Source organism: Homo sapiens, chromosome 17, assembly GCF_000001405.40.
Source record: "Homo sapiens chromosome 17, GRCh38.p14 Primary Assembly".
NCBI classification, from domain to species: domain Eukaryota; kingdom Metazoa; phylum Chordata; class Mammalia; order Primates; family Hominidae; genus Homo; species Homo sapiens.
The window spans coordinates 45,878,555-45,904,106 of NC_000017.11; the positions used below are offsets into that span (position 1 = coordinate 45,878,555).

The 25,552-nt window shown below is 48.3% G+C and overlaps 1 protein-coding gene and 2 long non-coding RNA genes across 31 annotated transcripts in view, besides 3 other annotated features; 2 read left to right on the top strand and 1 right to left on the bottom strand.

Moving 5' to 3' along the window:
* Positions 1 to 16,959, bottom strand: part of MAPT-AS1 (MAPT antisense RNA 1) — a 52,158-nt gene extending 35,199 nt beyond the window's left edge. Inside the window, exon 1 of the long non-coding RNA NR_024559.1 lies at positions 16,926 to 16,959. This is a non-coding gene — a long non-coding RNA (MAPT antisense RNA 1). The remainder of the gene's footprint in view (positions 1 to 16,925) is intronic.
* Positions 15,943 to 16,828: an enhancer, noted in NCBI's record as "H3K4me1 hESC enhancer chr17:43971863-43972748 (GRCh37/hg19 assembly coordinates)". NCBI's record gives its function as "activates a minimal SCP1, AML or CMV promoter by ChIP-STARR-seq in naive H9 embryonic stem cells {active_cell/tissue: H9 hESC(naive)}" and the evidence as "EXISTENCE:reporter gene assay evidence [ECO:0000049][PMID:30033119]".
* MAPT (microtubule associated protein tau) overlaps positions 16,000 to 25,552 on the top strand; it is a 133,781-nt gene continuing 124,228 nt past the window's right edge. For all 29 annotated transcript variants that reach the window (NR_165166.1, NM_001377268.1, XM_005257362.5 and 26 more), the window contains exon 1: positions 16,000 to 16,132. The gene's annotated coding sequence lies outside the window, so the exon portion shown is untranslated. The remainder of the gene's footprint in view (positions 16,133 to 25,552) is intronic.
* Positions 16,829 to 17,714: an enhancer, noted in NCBI's record as "H3K4me1 hESC enhancer chr17:43972749-43973634 (GRCh37/hg19 assembly coordinates)". NCBI's record gives its function as "activates a minimal SCP1, AML or CMV promoter by ChIP-STARR-seq in naive H9 embryonic stem cells {active_cell/tissue: H9 hESC(naive)}" and the evidence as "EXISTENCE:reporter gene assay evidence [ECO:0000049][PMID:30033119]".
* On the top strand, positions 17,229 to 20,244 carry MAPT-IT1 (MAPT intronic transcript 1). The gene has a single exon (NR_024560.1). It is a non-coding gene; the product is annotated as an MAPT intronic transcript 1 (long non-coding RNA).
* Positions 18,601 to 19,485: an enhancer, noted in NCBI's record as "H3K4me1 hESC enhancer chr17:43974521-43975405 (GRCh37/hg19 assembly coordinates)". NCBI's record gives its function as "activates a minimal SCP1, AML or CMV promoter by ChIP-STARR-seq in primed H9 embryonic stem cells {active_cell/tissue: H9 hESC(primed)}" and the evidence as "EXISTENCE:reporter gene assay evidence [ECO:0000049][PMID:30033119]".

A 25,552-nucleotide genomic window follows, 5' to 3' on the forward strand; every position in this document is an offset into this window, starting at 1 on the left:
TTGAGCCCAGGAGTTCGAGATCAGCCTAGGCAACACAGCGAGACCTTGTCTCTACAAAAAATCAAAAATTAGCCAGGTATGGTGGCATGCACCTGCAATCCCAGCTACCCAGGAGGCTGAGGTAGGAGGATTGCTTGAGCCCAGGAGTTCAAGGTTGCAGTGAGCCATGATTGCACCACTGCACTCTACCCTGGCAGACAGAGTGAGACTCTATCTCAAAAAATAAAATAAAATAAAATAAAATAAAAAGTTGAAAAACAGTACCTCTGTTTAGGACACTTACCATGAATGGAACTTGTAGGACTGGAAGTTGCTCTGGGTGAGTCAGTGAGTGAGTGGTGAGTGAATGTAAAGGCCTAGGACATCACTGTACACTACTGTTGACTTTTTTTTTTTTTTTTGAGATGGAATTTCACTCTTCTTGCCCAGGCTGGAGTGCAATGGCAGGAGCTTGGCTCACCGCAACCTCTGCCTCCCGGGTTCAAGAGATTCTCCTACCTCAGCCTCCCAAGTAGCTGGGATTACAGGCATGCACCACCACACCCAGATAATTTTTTGTATTTTTAGTAGAGATTGGGTTTCTCAATGGTGGTCAGGCTGGTCTTGAACTCCTGACCTCAGGTGACCCACCCGCCTCAGCCTCCCAAAGTGCTGGGATTACAGGTGTGAGCCACAGCTCCCAGCCTGCTATCAACTTTATAAACACTGTACATTTAGTCCATATTAAAGTTATTAAAATTATTTTTCTTCAACAATAAATTAAACTTAGCACACTGTAACTTGTTTTGCTTTATAAACTCTTAAATTTTTAAACCTTTTTGACTTTTGTAGTAACGTTTAGCTTAAAACACAAATACATTTTCAGCTGTACAAAAATTCTTTCTTTATGTCCTTATCCTATAAGCTTTTTTCTATTTTGTTTTTTTTTACTTGTTACACTTTTCTTGGTAAAAACTAAGACATCAACACACATATTAGCCTAGTCCTACAAAGGGTCAAGGTCATCAGTATCACCACCATCTTCTACCTCCCCATCTTGTCCCACTGGAAGGTCTTCAGGGGCAGTAACATGCATGAAGCCGTCATCTCCTATTATAACAATGCCTTCTTCTGGAATCCCTCACGAAGGCCCTGCCTGAGGCTGTTTCACAGTTAACTTTTTTTTTTAATAAGTAGAAGAAGTACACTCTAGAATAATAATAAAAAATATAGTATAGTAAGTACCCAAACCAGTAACACAGTCGTTTATTATCATTATCCAATTTTTTTTTTCAAATGGAGTCTCACTCTGTTGCCCAGGCTGGAGTGCAATGGCGCGATCTCCACTCACTGCAACCTCCACCTCCCATGTTCAAGTGATTCTCCTGCCTCAGCCTCCTGAGTAGCTGCAATTGCAGGTGCCCGCTACCACGCCCGGCTAATTTTTGTATTTTTAGTAGAAACAGGGTTTCACCATGTTGGCCAGGGTGGTCTCAAACTCCTGACCTCAGGTGATCCACCCACCTTGGCCTCCCAGAGTGCTGGGATTACAGGTATGAGCCATTGCACCCAGCCATCATTATCCAATATTATGTACTGTACATAATTGTATGTGCTAGACTTTTATACAACAGCCAGCAAGTAGGTTTGCATACCGGCATCATCACAAACACAGGAGTAATGTATTGTGCTACAACATCATCACCGCTATGAAGTCACTAGGCAGTAGGGATTTTTCAGCTCCAGTGTAATCTTATGGGACTGCCGTCATAAATGCAGTCCATTGTGGTTGTCTGGTGTATGGCTGTGCTACAAACTCAGTGGCTTAAAACAATGCAAATATATCATCTTAGAGTTCTGTAGGTCAGAAGTCCAACAAAGACCTCACTAGGCTAAAATCAAGGTGTCGACAGGGAGGCTCTAGCAGAGGATCCTGCATCCTTTGTAAAGAATTTTTACCCTTGTAAAGAATTGATGGTTCGGCTGTGCCTTCCAAGCTGTGCTTGACCAATTCTCTCAGGGTAGCCGCTTCTAGATGGAGAAGCCTATGATATAACCAGTGGATCCCGTGGCTGTGGGTTCACTCCCACCCCTCCCCTGCTTCACCTCTTCCAGTTTCTAGAGTAGGTGGACTCCTTAGCACTTGGCCTCTTCCTCATCTTCAAAGCCAGCAACATCACGGCCGGGTGCTGTGGCTCATGCCTGTAATCCCAGCACTTTGGGAGACTGAGGCTGGTGGATCACTTGAGGCCAGGAGTTTCAGACCAGCCTGACCAACATGGCAAAACCCTGTCTCTACTAAAAGTACAAAAAAAAATAAAATAAAATTAGCTGGGCGTGGTGGCACACGCCTGTGATCTCAGCTACTCGGGAGGCTGAGGCAGGAGAATCGCTTGAACCCAGGAGATGGAGGTTGCAGTGAGCTGAGATGTCGCTACTGCACTCCAGCCTGGGTGACAGAGTGAGACCCTGTCTCAAAAAAAAAAAAAAAAAAAAAAGCCAGCAACGTTACATCTCTCTGATCCTTCTTCTGTGTCACATCTCTCACTCTTACTGCAGCCAGGAAATTATTTCCACTTTTAAGGACTCTTGTGACTATACTGGGCTCACCTGGATAATCGGGGATCCACCCGTCATCTCAAGGTCCCTACTTTTCATCACATTTGCAAAGTTCCTTTTGCTATGTACACTAACACATTCACAGGTCCCACATGGTGAAACCCCGTTTCTACTAAAAACACAAAAATTAGTCAGGTGTGGTGGTGTGCACCTGCAGTCCCAGCTACTCGGGAGGCTGAGGCAGGAGAATTCCTTGAGCCCAGGAGGCGGAGGCTGCGGTGAGCCAAGATTGCGCCACTGCACTCCAGCCTGGGCAACAGAGCGAGACCCCATCTCAAAACAAACAAACAAACACACAAACACAAACAAACAAACAAAAACCACATTCACAGGTCCCAGGGACTTGGGCATGAACTTCTTTAGGGCCATTTTTCTACCACAAGGCTGTAAAAAGGTCTTTGATTCAAGGTCTGTCCTGCATCCTGGAGTACGTCTCCTACCCTTGTAAAGAATTGATGGTTCAGGTGTGCCTTCCAAACTCAGGGCAGCTGCTTCTAGATGGAGAAGCCTATGAATTAACTAGAGGATCCCGTGGCTGTGGGTTCAGTCCCACCCCTCCCCTGCTGTAAAGCAGTTCCCTTGGTCTCATGTGACACTATGTGGGACCCTGTACTGGAGAATCAAACACACTGTAAGCCCTCAGATAAGGATACTGGCTTAGGCACCGAAGGCAGGAAAGGCAAATCCGTACTCAGATCATGGGTCTACTCCTGTCAGAACAAATTACTGGGCCTTATGTGTGGAGGGACCCCAACAAAGTCAACCTGCCGGTTCGTCTTTTTGAGAAATGGTCCATTCTGAAGACTTAGCACTGGTCTCTGTTGCGGGAGGTTGGACATTTGGTGGCAGCGGTAGCCTTGGTACATGGGACCCATCCTGCACATAGCATCCATTTCTGTCACCACTGCTGCTTCATTCGTATGTCCATCAGGTCAGCATTGGGACGGCCCATGGCAGAGGCCAACTGGCATCCCCCACTCTCGTCCTCTTGTCTACTTGGTTGTCCACTGTCTCTTCCATAGTAGGTCATCTCTAGTGGGCATTAACACGTGGCACAAAGATCAAGCTTTGTGTGCTCTTTTTTTTTTTTTTTTTTTTCTGGAGACAGAGTTGCTCTTTCGCCCAGGCTGGAGTGCAGTGACGCGATCTTGGCTCACTGCAACCTCTGCCTCCCAGGTTCAAACCATTGTCCTGCCTCAGCCTCCCAAGTAGCTGGGATTATAGGCACGGGCCACCACACCCAGCTAATTTTTGTATTTTTACTAGATACGAGGTTTCACCATGTTGGCCAGGCTGTTCTCGAACTCCTGACCTCAGGTGATCCACCTGCCTCGGCCTCCCAAAGTGCTGGGATTACAGGTACCAGCCACCAGGCCTGGCCCTTTGTGTACTCTTGCCTTTGTCATCCACATGCCTCTGCCCAGATCTCCTTGTCTCCAGTCTTCTAATTGTTCCCTTTCCACATCTATGATCAGCTGGCCAGGCCATTCACCACTACCCAAAAGTTTGTATATATTCTCACCTTGAGCTCTGCTCTGTCCATACAAAATGGGTGAACAGCTACACCACCCAAATCCCTGCCCATTAGGAGGGTTTTGCCTTGCCACTCTCTTTCAAGGCCACCCTTGAGTGAGATTGTAGTACATTTCCTGTCGTTTTCAGCCTAAACCCACAAACCAAGCCAAGCCATTCACAAACCAAACTTGCTCTTTCCTCTTCCATCAGCTGGTCAGAAGGACCCCTCCTATAACCTTAGGTGTGTGTAGAGGGAGGGTGCTGGTGCAACTCCGGTGGGTGGCTTGGGAGTCTGAACAGACTGCACGTGCAGCTTGCTTGTGGCCCAGGTCCTGTCCATGCTCAATCCCAGATGTACAACTTCCATCTAACAATGGATTGTTGCTGGGCTTGCCTAACCTTATAATTTAACTCATCTGATGTAACCCAGTTAATGAAGGGCAGTTCCAGGTGCAAGATCAGTTGGTATCCCACCATCAGGTGCTCCATTTCTACCAGGGCACAGCAGCGTGCCAGGAGTTGTTTTGCCAAAGGCATATGATCCTCCACTGCAGATGGCATGGCCTTGCTCCAGAACCCTGGGAGCCTGCACTGTGACTCTCCCACTGGGGCATGCTACAAGCTCTACACAGCATCTTCTTCATCATCATGCCTTTTGTACTATAGAGTCTGCTGGGTTGATGGCTCAATCGCAAGGCTACTTGCACTGCTGCCTGGACCTACTGCAGAGCCCTTTCCTGTTCTGGGCCCCAATTCAAGCTGACAGCCTTTCAGGTTAACTGGTTATTATTGGTCAAGTGGTATTCCCAGGTGTGGAATATGCTATCTCCAGAAGCCAAAGAGAATGTCTAAGTTTTGTGCTTCCTTCTTCATGGTGAGAAATATGAGATGCAATCATTTGATTTTGACTTTGGATGGACTGTCCTGACATGCTCCTGTCCACAGGACCCCTAAAATTGTTCCTGGTGTGCAGGCTCCTAAATATCTGTAGTATTCATCTCCCACCCTCTAGAGTGTGTGTAACCTACCAATGCCTTTAACATGCTAGCCACTTTTTGCTCCTTTGGCCCATTTAGCAGGATGTCATTCACATAACAGATCAAGGCCATGTTCTGCAAAATGTCCAGATGGCCCAGATCTCTTTGTATCATTCAGGGTCCAAAACAGGGACAGAAGCCACAGAGTAATTTGAACAGGAAAAGTTTAAGATAAAGAAGCAGTGATTCCAACAGAGGAGGAATTATAAGGGTGCTGGTGAGCAGTGCACAGAGGTAGTCGGGGCATCAGGAGCCTGCTTGCACTGAGGCAGAGTAAGGACTGAGGTGTGCCATATCTGTATTAGGGGGGCCCCAGGAAGCAACCCTGCATTATACAGGTGAGCCAGTGCTGGAAGGTGGATGCACAGGAGGAGTCGGTGTGTCAGGAGCTTGATCCCTAGCAGAGCAGTGTAAATCCTGGGTGCATGTAACCTCATTGGGAGAGCCACAGTGAGCTGGGCACCTAGCTGGGGCCAATGCTGTGAGCTCACCAAGGACCCCACACTCTGCGTATGGAGCTGGGGCAGAGGCCCTCTCTCCTGTGCCTCTGGCAACCATACAGTAGAGGCAAGAAGAAGCAAAACCCAAGCATGACAGAAACAGCAAGAAAAGCCTTTTCTTTTCTTTTCTTTTTCTTTTTTCTTTTTTCTTTTTTTTTGAGATGGAGTCTCACTCTATTGCCCAGGCTGGAGTGCAGTGGTGTGATCTTGGCTCACTGCAAGCTCCACCTCCTGGATTCAAGTGATTCTCCTGCCTCAGCCTCCTGAGTAGCTGGGATTACAGGTGCATGCCACCATACCCAGCTAATTTTTGTATTTTTAGTAGAGACAAGGTTTCACCATGTTGGCCAGGCAGGTCTTGAACTCCTGACCTCAGGTGATCCACCTGCCTCAGCCTCCCAAAGTGCTAGGATTACAGGCATGAGCCACCACACCCAGCTGGAAAGGCTTTTCTTTCTGCTTTGTCGCTCTAGGGCATCTACAACAAAGCTTAACCTGATGCTCACCACAAGGGAGAAATGCTTAAAGTGTCTAGCTCCATTATCACAAAGCAGGTAATGCAGGGTGACTTGGAGATGAGAGTCAATACATTGAAAAACTGGCACAGACCAGACTGTGACAGACGGTGGGAAAGTTAATGTATGGGGGGGAGTTGTAAATGTATACTGTTGTCCATTCCATGTGAATGTGGACTATTTTGAATCCTCTTTTCAGATAGGAAGAGAAAAGAATGAATTCTCTAACAATGGCCACACACTATGTGTCTGAAACTGTTCATCTATTCTAGCAAAGATCTGGCATGGTAGGTGCAATGGCAGCTACTACTCCATTTACTTTGCAGTAGTCTAGTGTCATTCCATAGAATCCCTCTTCTCCTACATGAACCATACTAGAGACATGAAGGTAACTATTACCCTTGCATCCTTCAGTTCCCCAAGGGTGGCATTAACCTTCTCAACTCTTTCATCCCGGGATGCAATATTGTTTCTGATTTATTATGTTGACCTGGGTTGGAAGGGGACTGCTTGGAGGCTTCTCAACTACTATAGCTCTTACTCCACAAGCCAGCTCAGTGTGTATATAGGAGAGGATCACACACACTCCAAGAATTCATCCTTGGTTTCTTTTGATGGTGCAGGTTGAGCAGTCCCGTTTTCAGTCTCCCATCTCTCTTTGCCCTCAGGGACTCTGTGCTCTATTACCCACTTCCACAACTCTCTGTAGATCAGGCTCCTGGGCTGTCACTCCACCTGTAGATCACATCCGGGTCAAATATTTCTATCTCGATTTTTCATGTGGGAGATAATGACTGGATGGGGTCCGTGGACCCAGTGGACTCACTGTCAGCCAGACCTTGGCCGGGACTCAATTTATTACCAGGTCTCCAAATACTTCCTCTCTAACGAAGGCCGTGATGATACTTCAGGCCTCTGGTTATCAATGCCAGCTCAGACACTGTGTCTTACAGTCCTCAGGATATTTGGGTATTCCTCTTTTCCCATTTGCCATGGTGCTGCACAGTCCTTCTTAATGAGGAGCCAGGCTTCTTCTCAATCAATTGGTTCTGGATCTGAAAACTACCTCAGGTCTGAAAACTGGGCAACGTGTGACTTTTTACTGGGGTGTCTGCCTTAGCTTCCTGATCATTCATCATGATTTATTCTAATGGTGCAGGTTGAGCAGTACCCTTTTGGGTCTCCCATCTCTTTTTCTTTTCTTTGTTTGTTTTTGTTTTTTTGTGAGACAGAGTCTTGCTCTGTCACCCAGGCTGGATTGCAGTGGCACAAGGTCGGCTCACTGCAACCTCCGCCTCCCAGGTTCAAATGATTCTCCTGCCTCAGCCTCCTGAGTAGCTGGCCCTTCAGGTGCCCGCCACCACGCCCGGCTAATTTTTGTATTTTTGGTAGAGATGGGGTTTCACCATATTGACTAGGCTGGTCTCAAACTCCTGACCTTGTGATCTGCCCACCTCAGCCTCCCAAAGTGCTGGTATTACAGGCATGAGCCACCTCGCCTGGCCTGGTCTCCCATCTCTTTTGCCCCCATGGACTCTGTGCTCTATCACCCACTTCCATAACTCTCTGTAGACCAGGCTCCTGGGCTGCCACTCCAACCTGGCCAGTTACTACAATCAGTGCACTTGCCTGGCTTCTGATGGTGCCCCAGTTGTGCCTCCTCAGGTAGTGGAAGGAATCACAAGAAGACTCCTGAAAGTATACTCACATAGGGCTTTCATAAAACTAAAGAAAATAATATAGCAGGATAAAGGCAAACACCAGGGAGCTGTCCGACATCCAGGCGCATCTTCCTTTCAGGTACATAGGATGTACTTGATCTTAGGATGATAAACCACCAAGATACATGCAAAATGCCTTGGTCTCAGGGAAGTCACAATCTCATCTAAGATGGTTTTTAATATCCTTCTGGTCACATAGCCAAAACCAGCTTGCATGATCAGGCTCAACTAAGATAATCTAACAGAAACCAGGTGAAAATAATCAATCTGTACATTTTCACTTAACAATGGTGACAAGTTGGTACAGAATATCTGTAGTAGTTTTTGGACTCAGTACAGAACTACACTAATCAATGGTTTGCAAATTCCATTCTGGATGGATCACGACTCAGCACTATGGCTTCGGGATCCCCTAGAGATAAGCACAAGGTTGCAGCCAGGAAAAATGACCCCCATACCCACACAGATAGTTAAGGGCCAAACCACCTCTGTTGTTTTGGGTCCTATCATTCTCTCTGCTATCAGTAGGCCTTATTCTATAAGAACTTCTTCAATCCAGTATTGGCCTACAGAGACAGCTAAGTCTACATTTTATTTATTTATTTATTTATTTATTTATTTATTTATTTACTTATGACACAGGTTCTTGCTCTTTCCCCCAGGCTGGAGTGCAGTAGGTGTGATCTTGGCTCATTGCAGCCTTGAACTTCCAGGCCCTGCCTCAGCCTCCCAAGTGGCTGGGACTACAGGTGTGCGCCACAAAGCCTGGTTAATTTTTGCATTTTTTTGCAGAAACGGGGTTTTGCCACATTGCCCAGGTTGGTCTCTCACTCCTGGGCTCTAGTGATCCTTCTGCCTTGGCCTCCCAAAGTATTGAGATTACAGGTGTGAGCCACCCTACCCGGCCTGAATTTTTTATTGATGCTGGTGTCCCCTCTCATCAGTACACTCTGATGTCCTCAGAATGGTTGTCCTCTGCGCCTCCCTATGGAACATTACCATCAGGTGGGTTTTCTGGACTTTTTGCAGTGTGTCTACTCCAGAAGGTTACTGCCCTTCCCCTTGTGACACCTTCCTCTACTGTCCACCAGGACAATGATGGCATTTCTACCCCATTTACTACGGGCTTTATTTTTTATTTTTATTTATTTATTTATTTATTTTTTGAGACAACAGTCTCACTCTGTTGTCCAGGCTGTAGTGCAGTGGCACGATCTCAGCTCACTGCAACCTCCGCCTCCCAGGTTCAAGCAGTCTTTCTGCCTCAGTCCACCAGTAGCTGGGATTACAGGCATTTGCCACCATGCCCGGCTTGTTTTTGTATTTTTTTTTTTTAGTAGAGACAGGGTTTCACCACGTTGGCCAGGCTGGTCTCAAACTCCTGACTTCAGGTGATCCACCTGCCTCAGCCTCCCAAAGTGCTGGGATTACAGATGTGAGCCACTGCACCCAGCAGGCCTTTATTTTTTTCATGCTTCTAAGAGTGAGTTCATAGAATCTCTGGGAGCCTTTGCTAGGATGTTAAATTGTGTATTATGGGATAGAATGCTCCCAAGTCAACACAGTCTCCCTCATCCAATCTCATGTTCTGGCCACCTTGATCAAGCACCCTCAGCATTCAGTCCCACATGTCCTTCCCAGCTTCTTGCTGGTGTATGCTGGTTAGGTCTTGCAGCTACTTTGGGGTATAATCCCTTTTCTCCTTTATTAGGCCCATCATGTCCCTGAGTTATACTGTGACTTAACCCTAGTTTACATTTCATGGCCAGGAGGGGAGGTGGGTTCCTTGTTGACTGTGGGAAAAAGCCTTGGCATTTTCGAGTAGGAGCCAGGGAAGGGCACTTCTGCAGGCTCAGAGCATTCAAGAGAATCTGGAAATCCAAGATTTTCAGGGGCATCAACTCAGATGTCCCTGTTTCACATGTCAGGGTCCCATCCTTTCCCAACAAGGGCTCTGACCTTGATATAGCAGGCCTACCTTGCTTGGAAGCTGCATTCGTCCTTTCTCATGCTGCTAATAAAGACATACCAAAGATTGGGTAATTTATAAAGGAAAAAGGTTTAATTGACTCACAGTTCAGCATGTCTGGGGAAGTGTTAGGAAACTTACAATCATGGCAGAAGAGAAAGCAAACCATCCTTTCTCACATGGTGACAGGAAGAGCAAAGCGGGGTAAGCCCCTTACAAAACCACCAGATCTCATGAGAACTCACTATCACGAGAACACCATGGAGGTAACTGCCCCCATGATTCAATTACCTCCCACCAGGTCCCTCCCACGACATGTGGGGATTATGCGAACTCCAACTCAAGATGAGATTTGGGTGGGGACACAGCCAAACCATATCAGAAGCTTAACCTTCTTTGGAGCATGATTATTCAGTTGAACCTAAGTTCAGTAGTCACCCAGTTATGCTGTCTTCAGCTACTATTTTCCATATGTTTCTCAAACATCTGATATATCACACTGGCTAGTGCACTTTCTTCCACCAGCATACCATCTCAATTTACCACTTTAACAATTGGACTGCCACTTTGTGTCAGGGACTATCTGTGCTCCAACTACTACAAGTGATAAGGTCCTCACTGACAGCCAGGGAGCAAGTGATCCAGCTCTAAAACTCACCTTATCATCTGCTTTCCTAGACCACTCCTAACAACCAACTATTCTGGGTTGAGTTCTCCAAGAGGCAGAGAGTTCAGGATACAGAATGTTGTTTTGTTTTTGTTGTTGTTGCTGTTGTTGTTTGTGTGTGTGTTTGGGCTTTTTTGAGACGGAGTCTCACTCTGTTGCCCAGGTAGAAGTGCAGTGGCATGATCTCAGCTCCCTGCAACCTCCACCTCCTGGGTTTAAGTGATTCCCCTGCCTCCACCTCCTGAGTAGCTGGGACTACAAGTGTGCGCCACCACACCCAGCTAATTTTTGTGTTTTTAGTAGAAATGGGGTTTTACCATGTTGGCTAGGCTGCTCCCAAACTCCTGACCTCCAGTGATCCACCTACCTCTGCCTCCCAAAGTGCTGGGATTACAGGCGTGAGCCACCACACCCAGCCCAGAATGTTTATTAGAATGCACAATTAATACCAGAGGCAGTGGGGAAGGAAGGACTGAGCAGAGGAGGAAGTTGAGTTGTGATTCAACCCAACAACTGCCTGGCTGGCATGGGGAGCTCTGGAGTTAAATAGGGCCATCAGACTTTCCCAGTGTGGGGCCAACATGACTGGGTCTTTATACCCCCACCTCTGTCAGTCACTCAACGTGGTCTCCCTGCAACAAGGTGACTCTTGCAGCCGAGACAATCCCTGAAGGGACAGAGGGCTGAAGCCTGTCTGCCAACAGCACTCCCAGTGGCTGGAACAAGTCCTTCCCTATAGGGGAATCTGGGCGGCACACCTCCATCTCCATGTCCATCACATACGATATCACAGACATTTAAATATTTTGATAACTGTACATAAGAGTTTCCTTTATAATCTTATAGATCTTATTTTATGCATTTGAAAATATTCTTCTGAGACAGGGCTTTTATCATATTGCCATAGGGTGCCACGATATAAAAAAGGTTAAATACTCTCTGATTCAGAAGTATCCAATGATGACTTCTCTCTCATGCATTTAATTGAAAATCTGGTTTTTCTCCTTCTCTGCTAGTTCTCTACCTCTCTCCCCACCTCCCACATCATAGCCTATTCACATATGTCTGAATCTCATGATAGACAAGTTCAGGTTCTTTTCCCAGGTTCTTTTTACCACATCCCCCCACCCCCACATAAAAAGTATATATGGCACAGCCTAGGTTCCACCCAAATCCTTTCTCCTCTTCTTCCTGGGCCCACAACTCTCCTACATACATTGGTATACCTTGCGCTTAGGGATGGCCATGTGACTAAGTTCTAACAGTGGAACATGATCAGATGCCACTTCCAGCCTCTAAGACAGCCAGTGTGTTTCCTCCATAAGCTCCTTCTCTTCCTCCCAACTGGAGACTCTAAATGATGACCCTGCCTCAAGCAAGCAAACAACAAGTCCCTCAGGGGTGGTGTAGGCTGCAAATGGAAGGAGCTTGAGTCCCAAACCTTCCACGGAGAAGGCTGGCTACCAACCTGGATCACTCACCCAAGACTGCTCGAAGAGTTGGTTTGAACCATTGTGTTTTGGGGTCTATTTATTACAACAGTTTAGCTTGCTTTGTGAATAGATTTAGTGGCAGAGCCTCCAAATTCTATAGATACATTGATCTCAGTCCTAACCGCATCTGGAACACCATTAAATAAAGGAATTGCAAACCCAGAGAAGGTAATGAATTTGTCTAAGGTCATACAAGATGGCTAGGATCAGGACCCAACTCTCCAGTTTTCTTTCTTCTCTGCTATTCTGCCTTCTGTGATCCTACATAAGTGGGCATGATTGTATAACATATGCGGCCATGAGATTTCTCTTTCAGCAAGAGAAAGGGACAGGAAGAAAGAGAGGGAATGCATTTTCTTGGCCTGAATTAGTGTGAGCCATTAGTTACCTACATTGACTAAATTATCTGGAATGAACATTCAACTCTACATCACATATAGTTAAAATGACAGATCTGCTTAAGATTGTTTCTAGCATACGTTATTTCAATTTAGGCAAATGTGACCATTCAGTGTGAGGGGACCATACTGTCATTAGGTCCCTGTCAGTTCTCAATTATACTGTTATCTTAGAGGGGGAAAAATGTGAAATTTGAATGTAGACGAGTGTTGATTTGACTGCTACAGTTTATTTTACGTATAGAAATAAAATAATGTGTAGCAAAAGCATTATTACAAAGATGATAATGAAATAACTAGTATTTATAATAGTATAATAGTATAGTATTTATAATAGTATGATAGTTTAATGACTATTTGTCAGATGTTGTGTAAGAAACTTTATACACACACACACACACACCTCATTTAATTCCTGTATCAATCAGGATACAGGACGCTGTGGTAACAACTCCTCAAATCTCGGTGGCTTGCACAACAAATGCTTATTTCTTTTTTTTTTTTGACACCAAGTCTTGCTCTGTAACAGGCTGGAGTGCAATGGTGCAATCTCGGCTCACTGCAGCCTCTGCCTCCTGGGTTCAAGCGATTCTCCTGCCTCAGTCTCTCGAGTAGCTGGGAACACAGGCACGCGCCACCACATCTGGCTAATTTTTGTGATTTTAGTAGAGATGGGATTTCACCATGTTGCTCAGGCTGGCCTTGAACTCCTGACCTCAAGCGATCCACCCACCTCAGCCTCCCAAAGTGCTGGGATTACAGGCATGAGCCACTGCGCCCAGCCCCAAATGTTTATTTCTTGCTCATGTGACATGTACTTCCTCGAGTTTTTCCTTCCTGAGATCTAAGCTGAAGGAACAGCTCTCTGGAGCCACGCCATTCTGGTGGCGGAAAGGAAGAGTAAAAGTGGTAGAACCTTGCAATGCTCTTGAAGCGCCTATTTGGAATGTCTACATCATGTAAATGGTAATGGACAAGTATGTATAATCCCCACACCAAAAAAAGGGGACACTATTGGGGACAATAACCACATTTCAATGCTGCAAGACGGATATTGACTGCACCCCCTTCCCACTTTCAGAAAGAAGAAGAGTAATTTTGCTGAACTCCTTCTAGAGACTGGAAATGTCCCTTCCAGTTGGGGTGATTAGGGAAGGCTTTGGTAAAATTTGAGCTAGAGTTTGAAGGTTAGGTAGACTACTGGTGGGTGAAGAAAGAACAAGGACCTTTGTAGGCAAAGGAAAACCTCAGAATTACAGAGGTGGAAAAAGAGTTCTAGTCAAGCCACTTCAGCTGGCTACAGAGTAGGTGGGAAAGAAAATGGGAGGACAAGGGCTCAGATGATGGGGGGTTGGGGCATTGGGGGGACACTTGAAAGCTAAACTAAGGGGTTGAACTTAATTTAGGAGGCAGTTAGAAGCTTTTACATATTTTTGAGCAAGAGAGTGACATAATTAAAATGATCTGGGCCAGGTGTGGTGGCTCACACCTGTAATCCCAGCACTTTGGGAGGCTGAGGAGCTTGGGTCACCTGAGGTCAGGAGATCGAGACCAGCCTGGCCAACATGGTGAAATCCCGTCCTACTAAAAATACAAAAATTAGCCGGGAGTGGTGGCATATGCCTGTAATCCCAGTAGCTGGGAGGCTGAGACAGGAAAATCGCTTGAACCCGGGAAACAGGTTGCAGTGAGCCGAGATCGTGCCACTGCACTCCAGCCTGGGCAACAGAGCGAGACTCCATCTCAAAAAAACAAAACAAACACACACAAAAAACCAAAAATAAATAAATAAAATGATCACTTCTGAATACTGATCTAACTAGGGGTTGCAGGGTGGGCTGATATAGGGAGAAACTGGAGAGCAAGGAGATCACTAAGGTCCCTACATGTCCAGAACCAAGATAGAGGTCTTGAACTAGGATGGTGGCAGTTAGAACAACAACAACAAAAAGTCAATTCCAGGCTGAGTGCAGTGGCTCATGCCTGTAATCCCAACGCTTTGGGAGGCTGAGGTGGGAGTTAGAAAGCAGCCTGGGCAACACTGCAAGACCTCCTCTCTAAAAAAAAAAAAAAAAAAAAGTTAGCCAGGTGTGGTGGTGCCCACCTGTAGTCCCAGCAACTCAGAAGGCTGAGGTGGGAAGATTGCTTGAGCCCCAGGAGTTCAAGCTTGCCGTGAGCTACGATTGTGCCACTGCACTCCAGCCTGAGCAAGACCTTGTCTCCAAAAAAAGGTCAATTCCACTGACTTTTCTAAGGTGTACACCATCAAGGGGCAGCTCCATCTCCAGGCCATTGGCTCATGAGACATTCTGTAGTCAGAAGGCTAGGGCAGATTGCTTTGAGCAAGCCCCCATGGTGGTTCTCACTCCTACTTCTTTGGGTATATGCCCCTCTGTTTAAAAATAAAGTTAATATGCATTTAAAAAAAAAAAGGAGAAAAAGGTCAGTTCCAGAAACTGTGTGAATAAAGCATTTTACTTGCTTTTTCTATTAATCTATAACATATGTTGATTTTTTAAAAAGAATATAAGAGCTATGCAAATTGGAGCTTCAAGACAACTTCCCATCTCCCTAGGAGGAGATGGCTGCCCTAAACCCCCCTACATAGAAATCATCCCACTGCTTGGGCTTAAACTTGATGTTGGGGAAATGAAAAATCCAAGCTAAGGCCGAAGCCTGGGGCCTGGGCGACCAGCAGAATGAGGACCACTGGTCAGTTTCAGGCTGAGGTGCGTCTTCCAGGGGACAATCTCTAGCTGGCCCTTAAACATTCAGACTTCAAGCTCTATTTACAGCATAAAGGTGTTTCAAAAGACGTGATACAAATAACTGCAAATGCTCTGCGATGTGTTAAGCACTGTTTGAAATTCGTCTAATTTAAGATTTTTTTTTCTGACGTAACGGTTAGATTCACGTTTCTTTTTTTTTAAGTACAGTTCTACTGTATTGTAACTGAGTTAGCTTGCTTTAAGCCGATTTGTTAAGGAAAGGATTCACCTTGGTCAGTAACAAAAAAGGTGGGAAAAAAGCAAGGAGAAAGGAAGCAGCCTGGGGGAAAGAGACCTTAGCCAGGGGGGCGGTTTCGGGACTACGAAGGGTCGGGGCGGACGGACTCGAGGGCCGGCCACGTGGAAGGCCGCTCAGGACTTCTGTAGGAGAGGACACCGCCCCAGGCTGACTGAAAGTAAAGGGCAGCGGACCCAGCGGCGGAGCCACTGGCCTTGCCCCGACCCCGCATGGCCCGAAGGAGGACACCCACCCCCGCAACGACACAAAGACTCCAACTACAGGAGGTGGAGAAAGCGCGTGCGCCACGGAACGCGCGTGCGCGCTGCGGTCAGCGCCGCGGCCTGAGGCGTAGCGGGAGGGGGACCGCGAAAGGGCAGCGCCGAGAGGAACGAGCCGGGAGACGCCGGACGGCCGAGCGGCAGGGCGCTCGCGCGCGCCCACTAGTGGCCGGAGGAGAAGGCTCCCGCGGAGGCCGCGCTGCCCGCCCCCTCCCCTGGGGAGGCTCGCGTTCCCGCTGCTCGCGCCTGCGCCGCCCGCCGGCCTCAGGAACGCGCCCTCTTCGCCGGCGCGCGCCCTCGCAGTCACCGCCACCCACCAGCTCCGGCACCAACAGCAGCGCCGCTGCCACCGCCCACCTTCTGCCGCCGCCACCACAGCCACCTTCTCCTCCTCCGCTGTCCTCTCCCGTCCTCGCCTCTGTCGACTATCAGGTAAGCGCCGCGGCTCCGAAATCTGCCTCGCCGTCCGCCTCTGTGCACCCCTGCGCCGCCGCCCCTCGCCCTCCCTCTCCGCAGACTGGGGCTTCGTGCGCCGGGCATCGGTCGGGGCCACCGCAGGGCCCCTCCCTGCCTCCCCTGCTCGGGGGCTGGGGCCAGGGCGGCCTGGAAAGGGACCTGAGCAAGGGATGCACGCACGCGTGAGTGCGCGCGTGTGTGTGTGCTGGAGGGTCTTCACCACCAGATTCGCGCAGACCCCAGGTGGAGGCTGTGCCGGCAGGGTGGGGCGCGGCGGCGGTGACTTGGGGGAGGGGGCTGCCCTTCACTCTCGACTGCAGCCTTTTGCCGCAATGGGCGTGTGTGTGTGTGTGTGTGTGTGTGTGTGTGTGTGTGTGTGTGGAGGGGTCCGATAACGACCCCCGAAACCGAATCTGAAATCCGCTGTCCCTGCCGCTGTTCGCCATCAGCTCTAAGAAAGACGTGGATCGGGTTCTAGAAAAGATGACTCCCTGCACGCCCCTCCCTGCACCTCCCGAGCAGTGATTCCGACAGGGCCTTCACTGCCCCTGATTTTAGGCGGGGGCCGGCCCCCTCCCCTTTTCCTCCTTCAGAAACCCGTAGGGGACATTTGGGGGCTGGGAGAAATCGAGGAGATGGGGAGGGGTCCACGCGCTGTCACTTTAGTTGCCCTTCCCCCTGCGCACGCCTGGCACAGAGACGCGAGCAGCGCCGTGCCTGAGAACAGTGCGCGGATCCCACTGTGCACGCTCGCAAAGGCAGGGTTCACCTGGCCTGGCGATGTGGACGGACTCGGCGGCCGCTGGTCCCCGTTCGCGGGCACGCACAGCCGCAGCCACGCACGGATGGGCGCGGGGCTGCAGGTGCATCTCGGGGCGGATTTCTTTCTCAGCGCTCGGAGCGCAGGGCGCCCGGCGTGTGCGCTCCCTGCCGGAGGCGCGGGGCTGGCGCGCAGGGCTCGCCCCTCACTGCGGCAGTGGGTGTGGACCCTGGTGGGCGAGGAAGGGGGAGGATAGGCTGTGCCTCCTCCCACTCCCGCCCCCAGCCCCCCTTTTTTTCCCCCTCGGAACGCGAGGTGCCATCTTTTTTCGGCGTGTCACGTCTTTACGGTGCCATGCCAAACCGGGTGGCCGGGCTTCATAGGACAGGGCGGGGCCTGGCATTAAAGGGAGGGGGACAATCAGCGCTGAAATCTTGGCGTTTTGCTGCTGCGGGCGTGAGCACTGGGGGCGTTCGCCCAGCACCTTCTTCGGGGGCTCTTTGCTTTGTCTGTAGAGGTTACGTGATCTGCGCTCCCAGCCCTGGTTTCTGGCTTTTATTCTGAGGGTGTTCAGTCAACCTCCCCCCTACGCCCATGCGCCTCTCTTTCCTTTTTCGCTCCTCATTTCCGAGCCCATTGTTGGATCTCGAGGCTTGCTGGGTTCGATGAACTCGAGTCAACCCCCCGACCCCCGGCACGCATGGAACGGGCGTGACCGCGCGCAGCCTCGTCTCGGAGTCTGCCGGCGCCGGGAAGCTTCTGAAGGGATGGGATTCGAGTCTCCGTGCGCGCTGCGGGCGGCGGCAGAGGGATCTCGCCCCTCCCTACACCCCAAGTGTCCTGAGGGCCACGCCACACCAGGTTGCCCAGCGAGGGACGCTGGCTACCCATCCGGGGATGGGTGGGGAGCCCTGGCGGGGCCTCTCCGGCTTTACGCCCTGTTGCTTCGCCTGGCCGGAGAATGTGAGGAAGGGGCATAAGGTTACTGGTGCTTCGGCCACACCCATCTTTCTGAGCCCACTGGACTGGGCGCAGAGGGGGGATTGCCATGGAAACCACAGGTGTCCGGAGAGGGGATCTTGGGGCTGGCCTCACCCCTTCCCTGCGGAGATTGGGGACCCTGGGGTAGGGGGAGCCGCGCCCAGTCGGCCTCCTGGAGGACACGGGAGGAAGCCCCGAACCCCCGCGCCTGAGGCTGTTTCTGATTGGCCCCTGGAGGCCGCAGACACGCAGATAGGCGGCCCTGGGTGTATTTTTATTAATATTATGTCCGTACTGATTAATATTATTTATCTTAAATAAATTTCACCCGTGTCCAAGTTCACCGCGCCCCCAAAACCGAGTCTGGGGCGGCAGGGGGAACTCCTGGCCAACGAATCCATGCCTCGCCCTCCTGTGATGAACCTGGTACGCACGGTTTTCTGGTTAATTCTATCGCTGAAAACTGGTGCGGGGGGCGCACTTCTGAGACGGAAGAGCATCTAGGAGCTGAATCCTCCACGCGGGTCGCCCAGGTTGATCTGAATTTCTGGGGAATGGCTTGGCTGCCCGCCCGGGACCAGGCCGACCCTCCTTGACGGTGGCGTAGAGGGCTGGAGCCTGGGTACTGCGAGGCTCCTCGCATGGCTGGGCCCGCCGCGAGGGGTTGCAGAGCGGCTCAGGGATCGATTCAAGCATCGTCTCTCCTCCCTCGCCCCCAGACAGAGCTGGGCGCGGGGTTCCCCTTCCAGATGGAGCGAGGGTCTCGGGGTGGCCCCGGAAAAGGGGAGCCCGCGGCCACGGCTACGTATTGCCATCTCGCGAGCAGAGATGTCACCTCCTGCCTTTGGAGGAAAGGGAGCCCGGTGGGGATGAGCGCATTTAGCCCAATGCTGGGAACAAAGCGCACTCCGCGCTTCTGCGATTTCGCTCCATTTTGAAATGTGTTGGCGCTTTGGTGGGGCCGCTGCGGTGGGCAAGGCCGGGGGCGCTGTTAATGGAGGAACCTCAGGGGGACGGTCCTTCGTAGGAAACTCTATCCTGGCTCTGCGCGCGCTTTAAGGAAATGGCTTCCCTCCAGGACCTCGAGGGATGCAGCTTTTGCGCGGATGACGGTGGGGTGCTGAACCAGCCGGTGCGCCTCTGGAAATGTCTGGGCACGGATCCTGGGGCCATCGACGACTCCTCCCCATTCCCAGCAGGCGGGAGCTCTTACATTCCGAGCGAGTGACCCCTCTCACCCTCTGGCGCTCACACACCTGTAACTCCAAACCTCCGTCTCAGAATGGTCCAGGCTGGAAGGGATGATGGGGGCTCCGACAGCGACTGCCTAGCTCACCCCTCTGCGTGCTCAGGCTCCAGGCTCAGCAGGACCAATTTGAGTTCTATCTGATCCCCCTCGGCCCCTTAACTGACCCATCCTACAGGAGACAGGGAAATGTCTTTCCTACCGCGGTTGATTCTGGGGTGTCATTTTGTGTTTTGTGATGGCTGCTTATATTTACTGTATAAGCATTGTATTTACTGTATAAGCATTGTATTATAATTACTGTATAAGCTGCTTATATTTACTGTATAAGCATCTCCAAATCCTCCCTCTACGTAAACAAATTAATGGATAAACAGATAAGTGTATCCCCTGCCCCCACCCCTGCTACGCAGGTCCGGAGTGACTCTTGAAGCTCATACATTCCTTGGCCAAGTTTGCTTCTCTAACAGATGTTTATATAGCAATAACCTGGCTTGGCTCTTGGGTTCACCTTTGGACGATTTGGGGAAGGGGCTTGTTGGCTTTGCTGGGTTTTGGATGAGTGACAGTCCATGACTGTTCCTGCTGGAAGGGCGTGACTTTTAAGTGGTTTCTAATATCAGGCATTGCTCCTCCGACAGGAACAAAAGAAATGGATACTGCCCATAAATTGTTAGAAAACTTAGAATCGCTTTGATTGAGGAAAGGTTAGATTTATTCCGGTTGGAAAAAGTGGCCTTTCTATTAAACGTGCCCTTTGACCCTCATGCCCTTGGAGGTCGGTGCCAGCCTGGAGATGGGATAAGATTGTGGTTTTCCTTCTGCCTTTTTAACATCTGTTGTTACAGTCCATTTGTTGAAAATTTAAAGAAACTGTTTTATTCCACTTTCCCTCAGCATTTATGTGTGTGGTTTCAGTAGCTCTGTGGCTATATGTACGAACACGTGTTATTTTTCCAATTGGACATGTGATAATTTTCCAACTGGACCTTGCCTTCTATTGATGTATTTATTTAGCATCTTCCTTACTCCCTCCTTGAAAAAGAATCACTCAAAAACAAATAAAAACAGCCGTAGGGGCCTAATACAGTGCTAGACATACAAGAGGTATTCGGTCCATACCAAATGGATTTTATCCATGAAGGATAAATGGGGAAATACAGTGGGAAGCAGGTGGGAAACTGCGTTTGACTCTGCTCTTTCCTCCACCACCACTTTCCTCATCACCGTGTTCAGAGACCCCCAAAGCCCCCTCACACTCCCAGAAACACCCCCCTGGCCACTCCTAACTTGCCATGCCCAGGAGTTAGGTGCTTCCACTAGTGACATGGAGCTGGCGTTTGGGGGGCACCTCAGCAGGTGACGGGAAGAGAAGACCCCAGCCTCACCAGCTGGGCTGCAGCAGGGAGAGGAGTCCTCATGTTCCAGCAGGGACTCTCAGCTGTTTTCCTGTAAAACCATGGTTCTCAACTGGGGGCCACTGAGATGTCTAGAGAGATGTTTTTGTTTTCACAACTCGGGGAGGGTGCTACTGACATCTTGTGGGTAGAGGCCAGGAATGCTGTTAAACATCCTACAAGGAAGGCACAGGACAGTCTCCTACATCAAAATATGACCCAGTCCCAATGTCACCACTGCTGGGGTTGACACTGGCACTGCTATCTTAATTACATTCATTGAGTGTCTTTTAGGAGGCCCTATTCTAAGTGCTTGCTAAGATTATCTCATTTAATCCTCACAACACTTCCGCTATGTAGCAGGTGCTGTTATTATCTCCGTGATGGGGAAACTGAAGCACAGAGAGGGTTAGTAACTTGCTAAAGGTCACAGAGCCAGTGGGTGGTGGAGCTGGTTGCCTGACACTAGTTCCCTCCCCTCTCAGCCACATGTGGGTTTACTTGGCCATTGTGGACTAGTCTGGGAACCCAGATATGATCTATAACATTGACCCAGTAGAATATTGATTCCAAAACCACTGTCTCACAAATGAATTTTTACAAGAGTCTGTAATCGGAGCATGACCCAGAATAAGGTTAGGGAGATGTGGAGTTAAAGCTCTCAATTTCTTATCTGGCCCCGACACAGAGAGCAAGGCATTTCACTCTACATTGGTGCTCTGTTTATAAAACAAAGAGCAAATATCTCTTCCTAAGGTCCTTAAACCTCTTCCCCCAATCCAGGGTTTCTGGACTGCTCTGCCATATGACGGGGCAGCTGGTTTGATTGACCCAGGGAAGGCTGGAAATCAAGACTGGGGGATCAAGACGTAGATTCAGTGTGGCCAAGGTCAAGTCTCTGAGGTTTAGGGACATCAGATCCCCAGCTTAGGTTCTGTACCTCGGCAAGGTGAAAGCGTTGGCGCCCACTGATGAGGCCTGCTCTGAGATTGTGGGTGTGGGTTGAGTTGGGTGGGCATAGGCAAGTCCTCTTGTAAGAATCTTTTGGCAAAGATGGGCCTGGGAGGCTTTTCTCACTTCCTGGGGCCCAGGCTTTGCAATAAGTATTCCATTATACTGTGGTACCTTGGGGCTACCTGAGAATCCTCTGTCTCGCCCCTGTTGCCTTGCCAAAGAGTTTGCTGTCCAAGAATTCCTTTCCTGTCTCCAGGTGCCATGCTCCTGCCACCTCTGCCAGGTTCCCTGCCTGCCCAGATGGCTCCCAACTGAGTGTGAGGAGGAATTTGAGACAGGTTTTGAGCTTTCTGGGTTCTCCAGTTAGGAAACTTTCTGTAAGCATGCAGATAGAATGGGCTTCAGCAAAATACAAACTCGAACAACTTCCATGTATAGTCCCTTAATTTTCTTTGCTTTTTTCATATTTCATCAGGCTCCATGCTGAGCCCAATCAGGGACCCGATAGAAATCCAAACACCATGTCAGCGAGTCCCCAAGAAATGCATTTTGTGCCAAGGCTATTCAAGGAAGGTTTGGGAGCAGCTCAAGGGCAGACACTGTTACCCTCCCCCAGGTCCCCAGTGCAGGGCAGTGTTCTGCATGTGGAGGCAGTTTGGCCTAATGGTTAAGGAGGTAGGCTCTGATCGGGCCTCCTGGGCACAAATCCCAGCTCCCTGCTCACTGTGAGACCTAAGCCATATTGTTTAGCTGCTTGGAGAGTTTTTTGTCATCCACAACTTGGAGTATGATGGTACCTGTCTCACGGGTTGCCATGGGGTTCACACAAGCTAACCCGGTACTCACTAGGGCCAAGCACATAGTAACTGCTCAGTAAATGGCATCATCGGCGGTGTCCTGTGGATGAGTGCTTGTGATTGGCTGAATGACCAGAGGGGTCTAAAGATCCTGGTGATGGAATCAGTTGTACAGATAAATTGTTACACTGAGTAGGGATCAAGATAGGAAAAGTCGGCAACTACCCAGCTCCCCTGCACCAAACTGGGCAGAAGTGGATCCTCTGAAAATTGCACACACCCATGTTTAAATGTACACACAGAACTCTTGCCACAGGCAAGCGGAGATTTGTCATCTGCTGTCCCTGCCTCATCTTCTTCCTGAAATCCACTCCATGCCAGGAATAAACTGCATGCTCTCCACCAGCCCAAACTGACCTGCCTTCCCGCCAGCCATCCCGGGCAGGGTGACCTGGCTTAGTACATCGGGTTCAGAGATCTTTCCAGTTTACTCGTTGAATAAAAAGTGAGGGCTGATCGAGAAAGTAATGGCAGTCAGGGAAGGCGAAGGAGGTAAAGAAGAGATTTTACAAATGAAGTAATTCAACAGAGTGCTGACATTGGTAAACTGGCAAACAGATTTCAGGGTGGTTGGTTGAGAGTAGAGTAGAAAAGGATTAAATAAAGCAAACTTGTGGTGTACTGAATCTTAGGAATTCCATGTATCCAATAAGTATAGTCATTTATGAATTAATAAATTCGGCCTAAGAAGCCTTCTTATCGCTTAAATCAAGACTAAGTAACAATATATCAGTTTTAAAAAGTCATTATATCAGAAAATCATTTAAATGATACACATAGATTTCCAAGATTTTACTTTAACCGAAACTATATAAATGTGAATTTGTTCACCCATCTTTTGACACAGGGCTCAGGTCTTCTCTTGGTGTCTGGATCAGCCAGTTGAAATTTCTTGTCTGTTTTGCCTATGCCACATTAATAATGCACTGTCTGGGTCCTCCGATTTCAGTTTGGATTTTGGGTTTACATTGTGGAGTCATCTGAATGCAGAATCCTTCAGGGATTTTACTTTTTTTTTTTTTTTTCATGGTCTTTACCATCCCATTTGATAGTAAATATTACTCACCTTTATGAAGTCTTTCCAAAACATTCAACTAAATTTTCTTAAAATCATTGAATGATTTGAAGAGCTTATTCCTCAGCACTTTTACTCCATCAGCTTGCACCTTATTTTTTAATCTTTTTTTGAGACGGAGTCTCGCTCTATCGCCCAGGCTTAAGTGCAATGGCGCGATCTTGGCTCACTGCGACCTCCACCTCCTGGGTTCAAGCAATTCCGCCTCAGCCTCCGCCGTAGCCGGGACTACAGGTACACACCATAATGCTCGGCTGATTTTTGTATTTTTGTAGGGATGGGGTATCGCCATGTTGGCCAGGCTGGTCCCGAACTTCTGACCCAAGTGATCCACCCACCTCGGCCTCCCAAAGTGCTGGGATTACAGGTGTGAGCCACCGCGCCCGGCCAGCTTGCACCTTATTTAGGATATGTGATTATTATAGCAAGTCTGGTGTACATACAAGATTTTGAATGGGCACAGATGACCTTTAGTAAGTGCTTGGCTGTGATAAGAGGCAGTCCTGACTGCAGATCAGGCTGTGTGGACCCCAGCCTTGCATGTTTACAGACCTTCATGTCTTATTCTTACAGGGTATCAGAAGAACACCTACTGGGGAAACTTATAAATTAGTAAAAGGTGGGCATTCTCCCCGCCCATCTTCTGTCTGTCTGCCAGGACTAGCACAGCACTTTGAAGTCATTCACATAGAATCCCAACTTAAGAGGGTAAAATCCTCCTCAACAGACTGAAAATAAGTTTAAATTCCCTTTGCTATATTAACTCCCCTGAGGAAAGAGTCTTAGATCAATGTCCAACACTAAAAACAGTTTTAAATCAGCAAGTGAGAATTAAATCTGAAGCAATTGATAATAATGTTTCATTCATTCCTCTCCTTTGGCCCCGTCCACCCTACTGCTAAATCCAGGCATCAAAGAGAAGAGGGACATAATTATCTCTAGTCCCAGCTGCTGGTTTTCCTTCCAGCCTATGGCCCAGTTTTCTGTTTTACTGAGAAGGCTGGTGATGTTATCTTGGGATCTAAGTCTGCAGTTTCACCACAAAAAGTCCAGGGATGCACTTTCATGCTTGTGTCCTCCTCCCTGGGATAGCAAGGATATTAGAAGACCCCTGGCTCTGTAATTGCTTGTCATGTGCTCTACAGACGCCACAGAATGCCAAGAACGAAGTGCTGGGAAGGACAAATTCATGGAACCGTGGGACGGTGCTCCTCCCCCAGCGTAAAGGACAGCTCCTCCTCCTGAATTGGAGCCAGCGTTCTAAATCATGTGTCAACAGAGTTGTCCTGGATCGGATCCAGTTCTGCCATTGATTTGCAGGTCATTTCAGTGGTACCTGTTTCCAGTTGTTCTTAATTGAACAGTGGCACCAAACTATTGTCTTGCCTCATCCCCCTCCCATGGCCTGTCCCCCAAAAAGAGACTTCTTGGGTAATTAATCAGGGCAACATCAGGCAGTCTGGGCGCGGTGGCTCACGCCTGTAATCCCAGCACTTTGGGAGGCCGAGGCGGGCAGATCATGAGGTTAGGAGATTGAGACCATCCTGGCTTTGTGAAACCCCGTCTCTACTAAAAATACAAAAAATTAGCCGGGCGTGGTGGCGGGCGCCTGTAGTCCCAGCTACTCGAGAGGCTGAGGCAGGGGAATGGCGTGAACCCGGGAGGTGGAGGTTGCAGTGAGCCGAGATCGCACCACTGCACTCTAGCCTGGGCGACAGAGCTAGACTTCTTCTCAAAAAAAAAAAAAAAAAGGAATCTCTTTGGTTTTATATATATTTTTTTTATATATATAATATATATTAAAATATAATATATATATTTATATAATATAATATATAAATATATTATATATTATATATTTTATATATTATATATTATATATATTATATATTATATATTTATATATTTATATATTATATATATTTATATATTATATATTTATATATATTATATATTTATATATAATATATATTATATATTATATATTATATATTATATATTATATATTTATATATATTATATATTATATATATTATATATTATATATTTATATATTATATATTTATATATATTATATATTATATATTATATATTTATATATTATATATTTATATATTATATATATT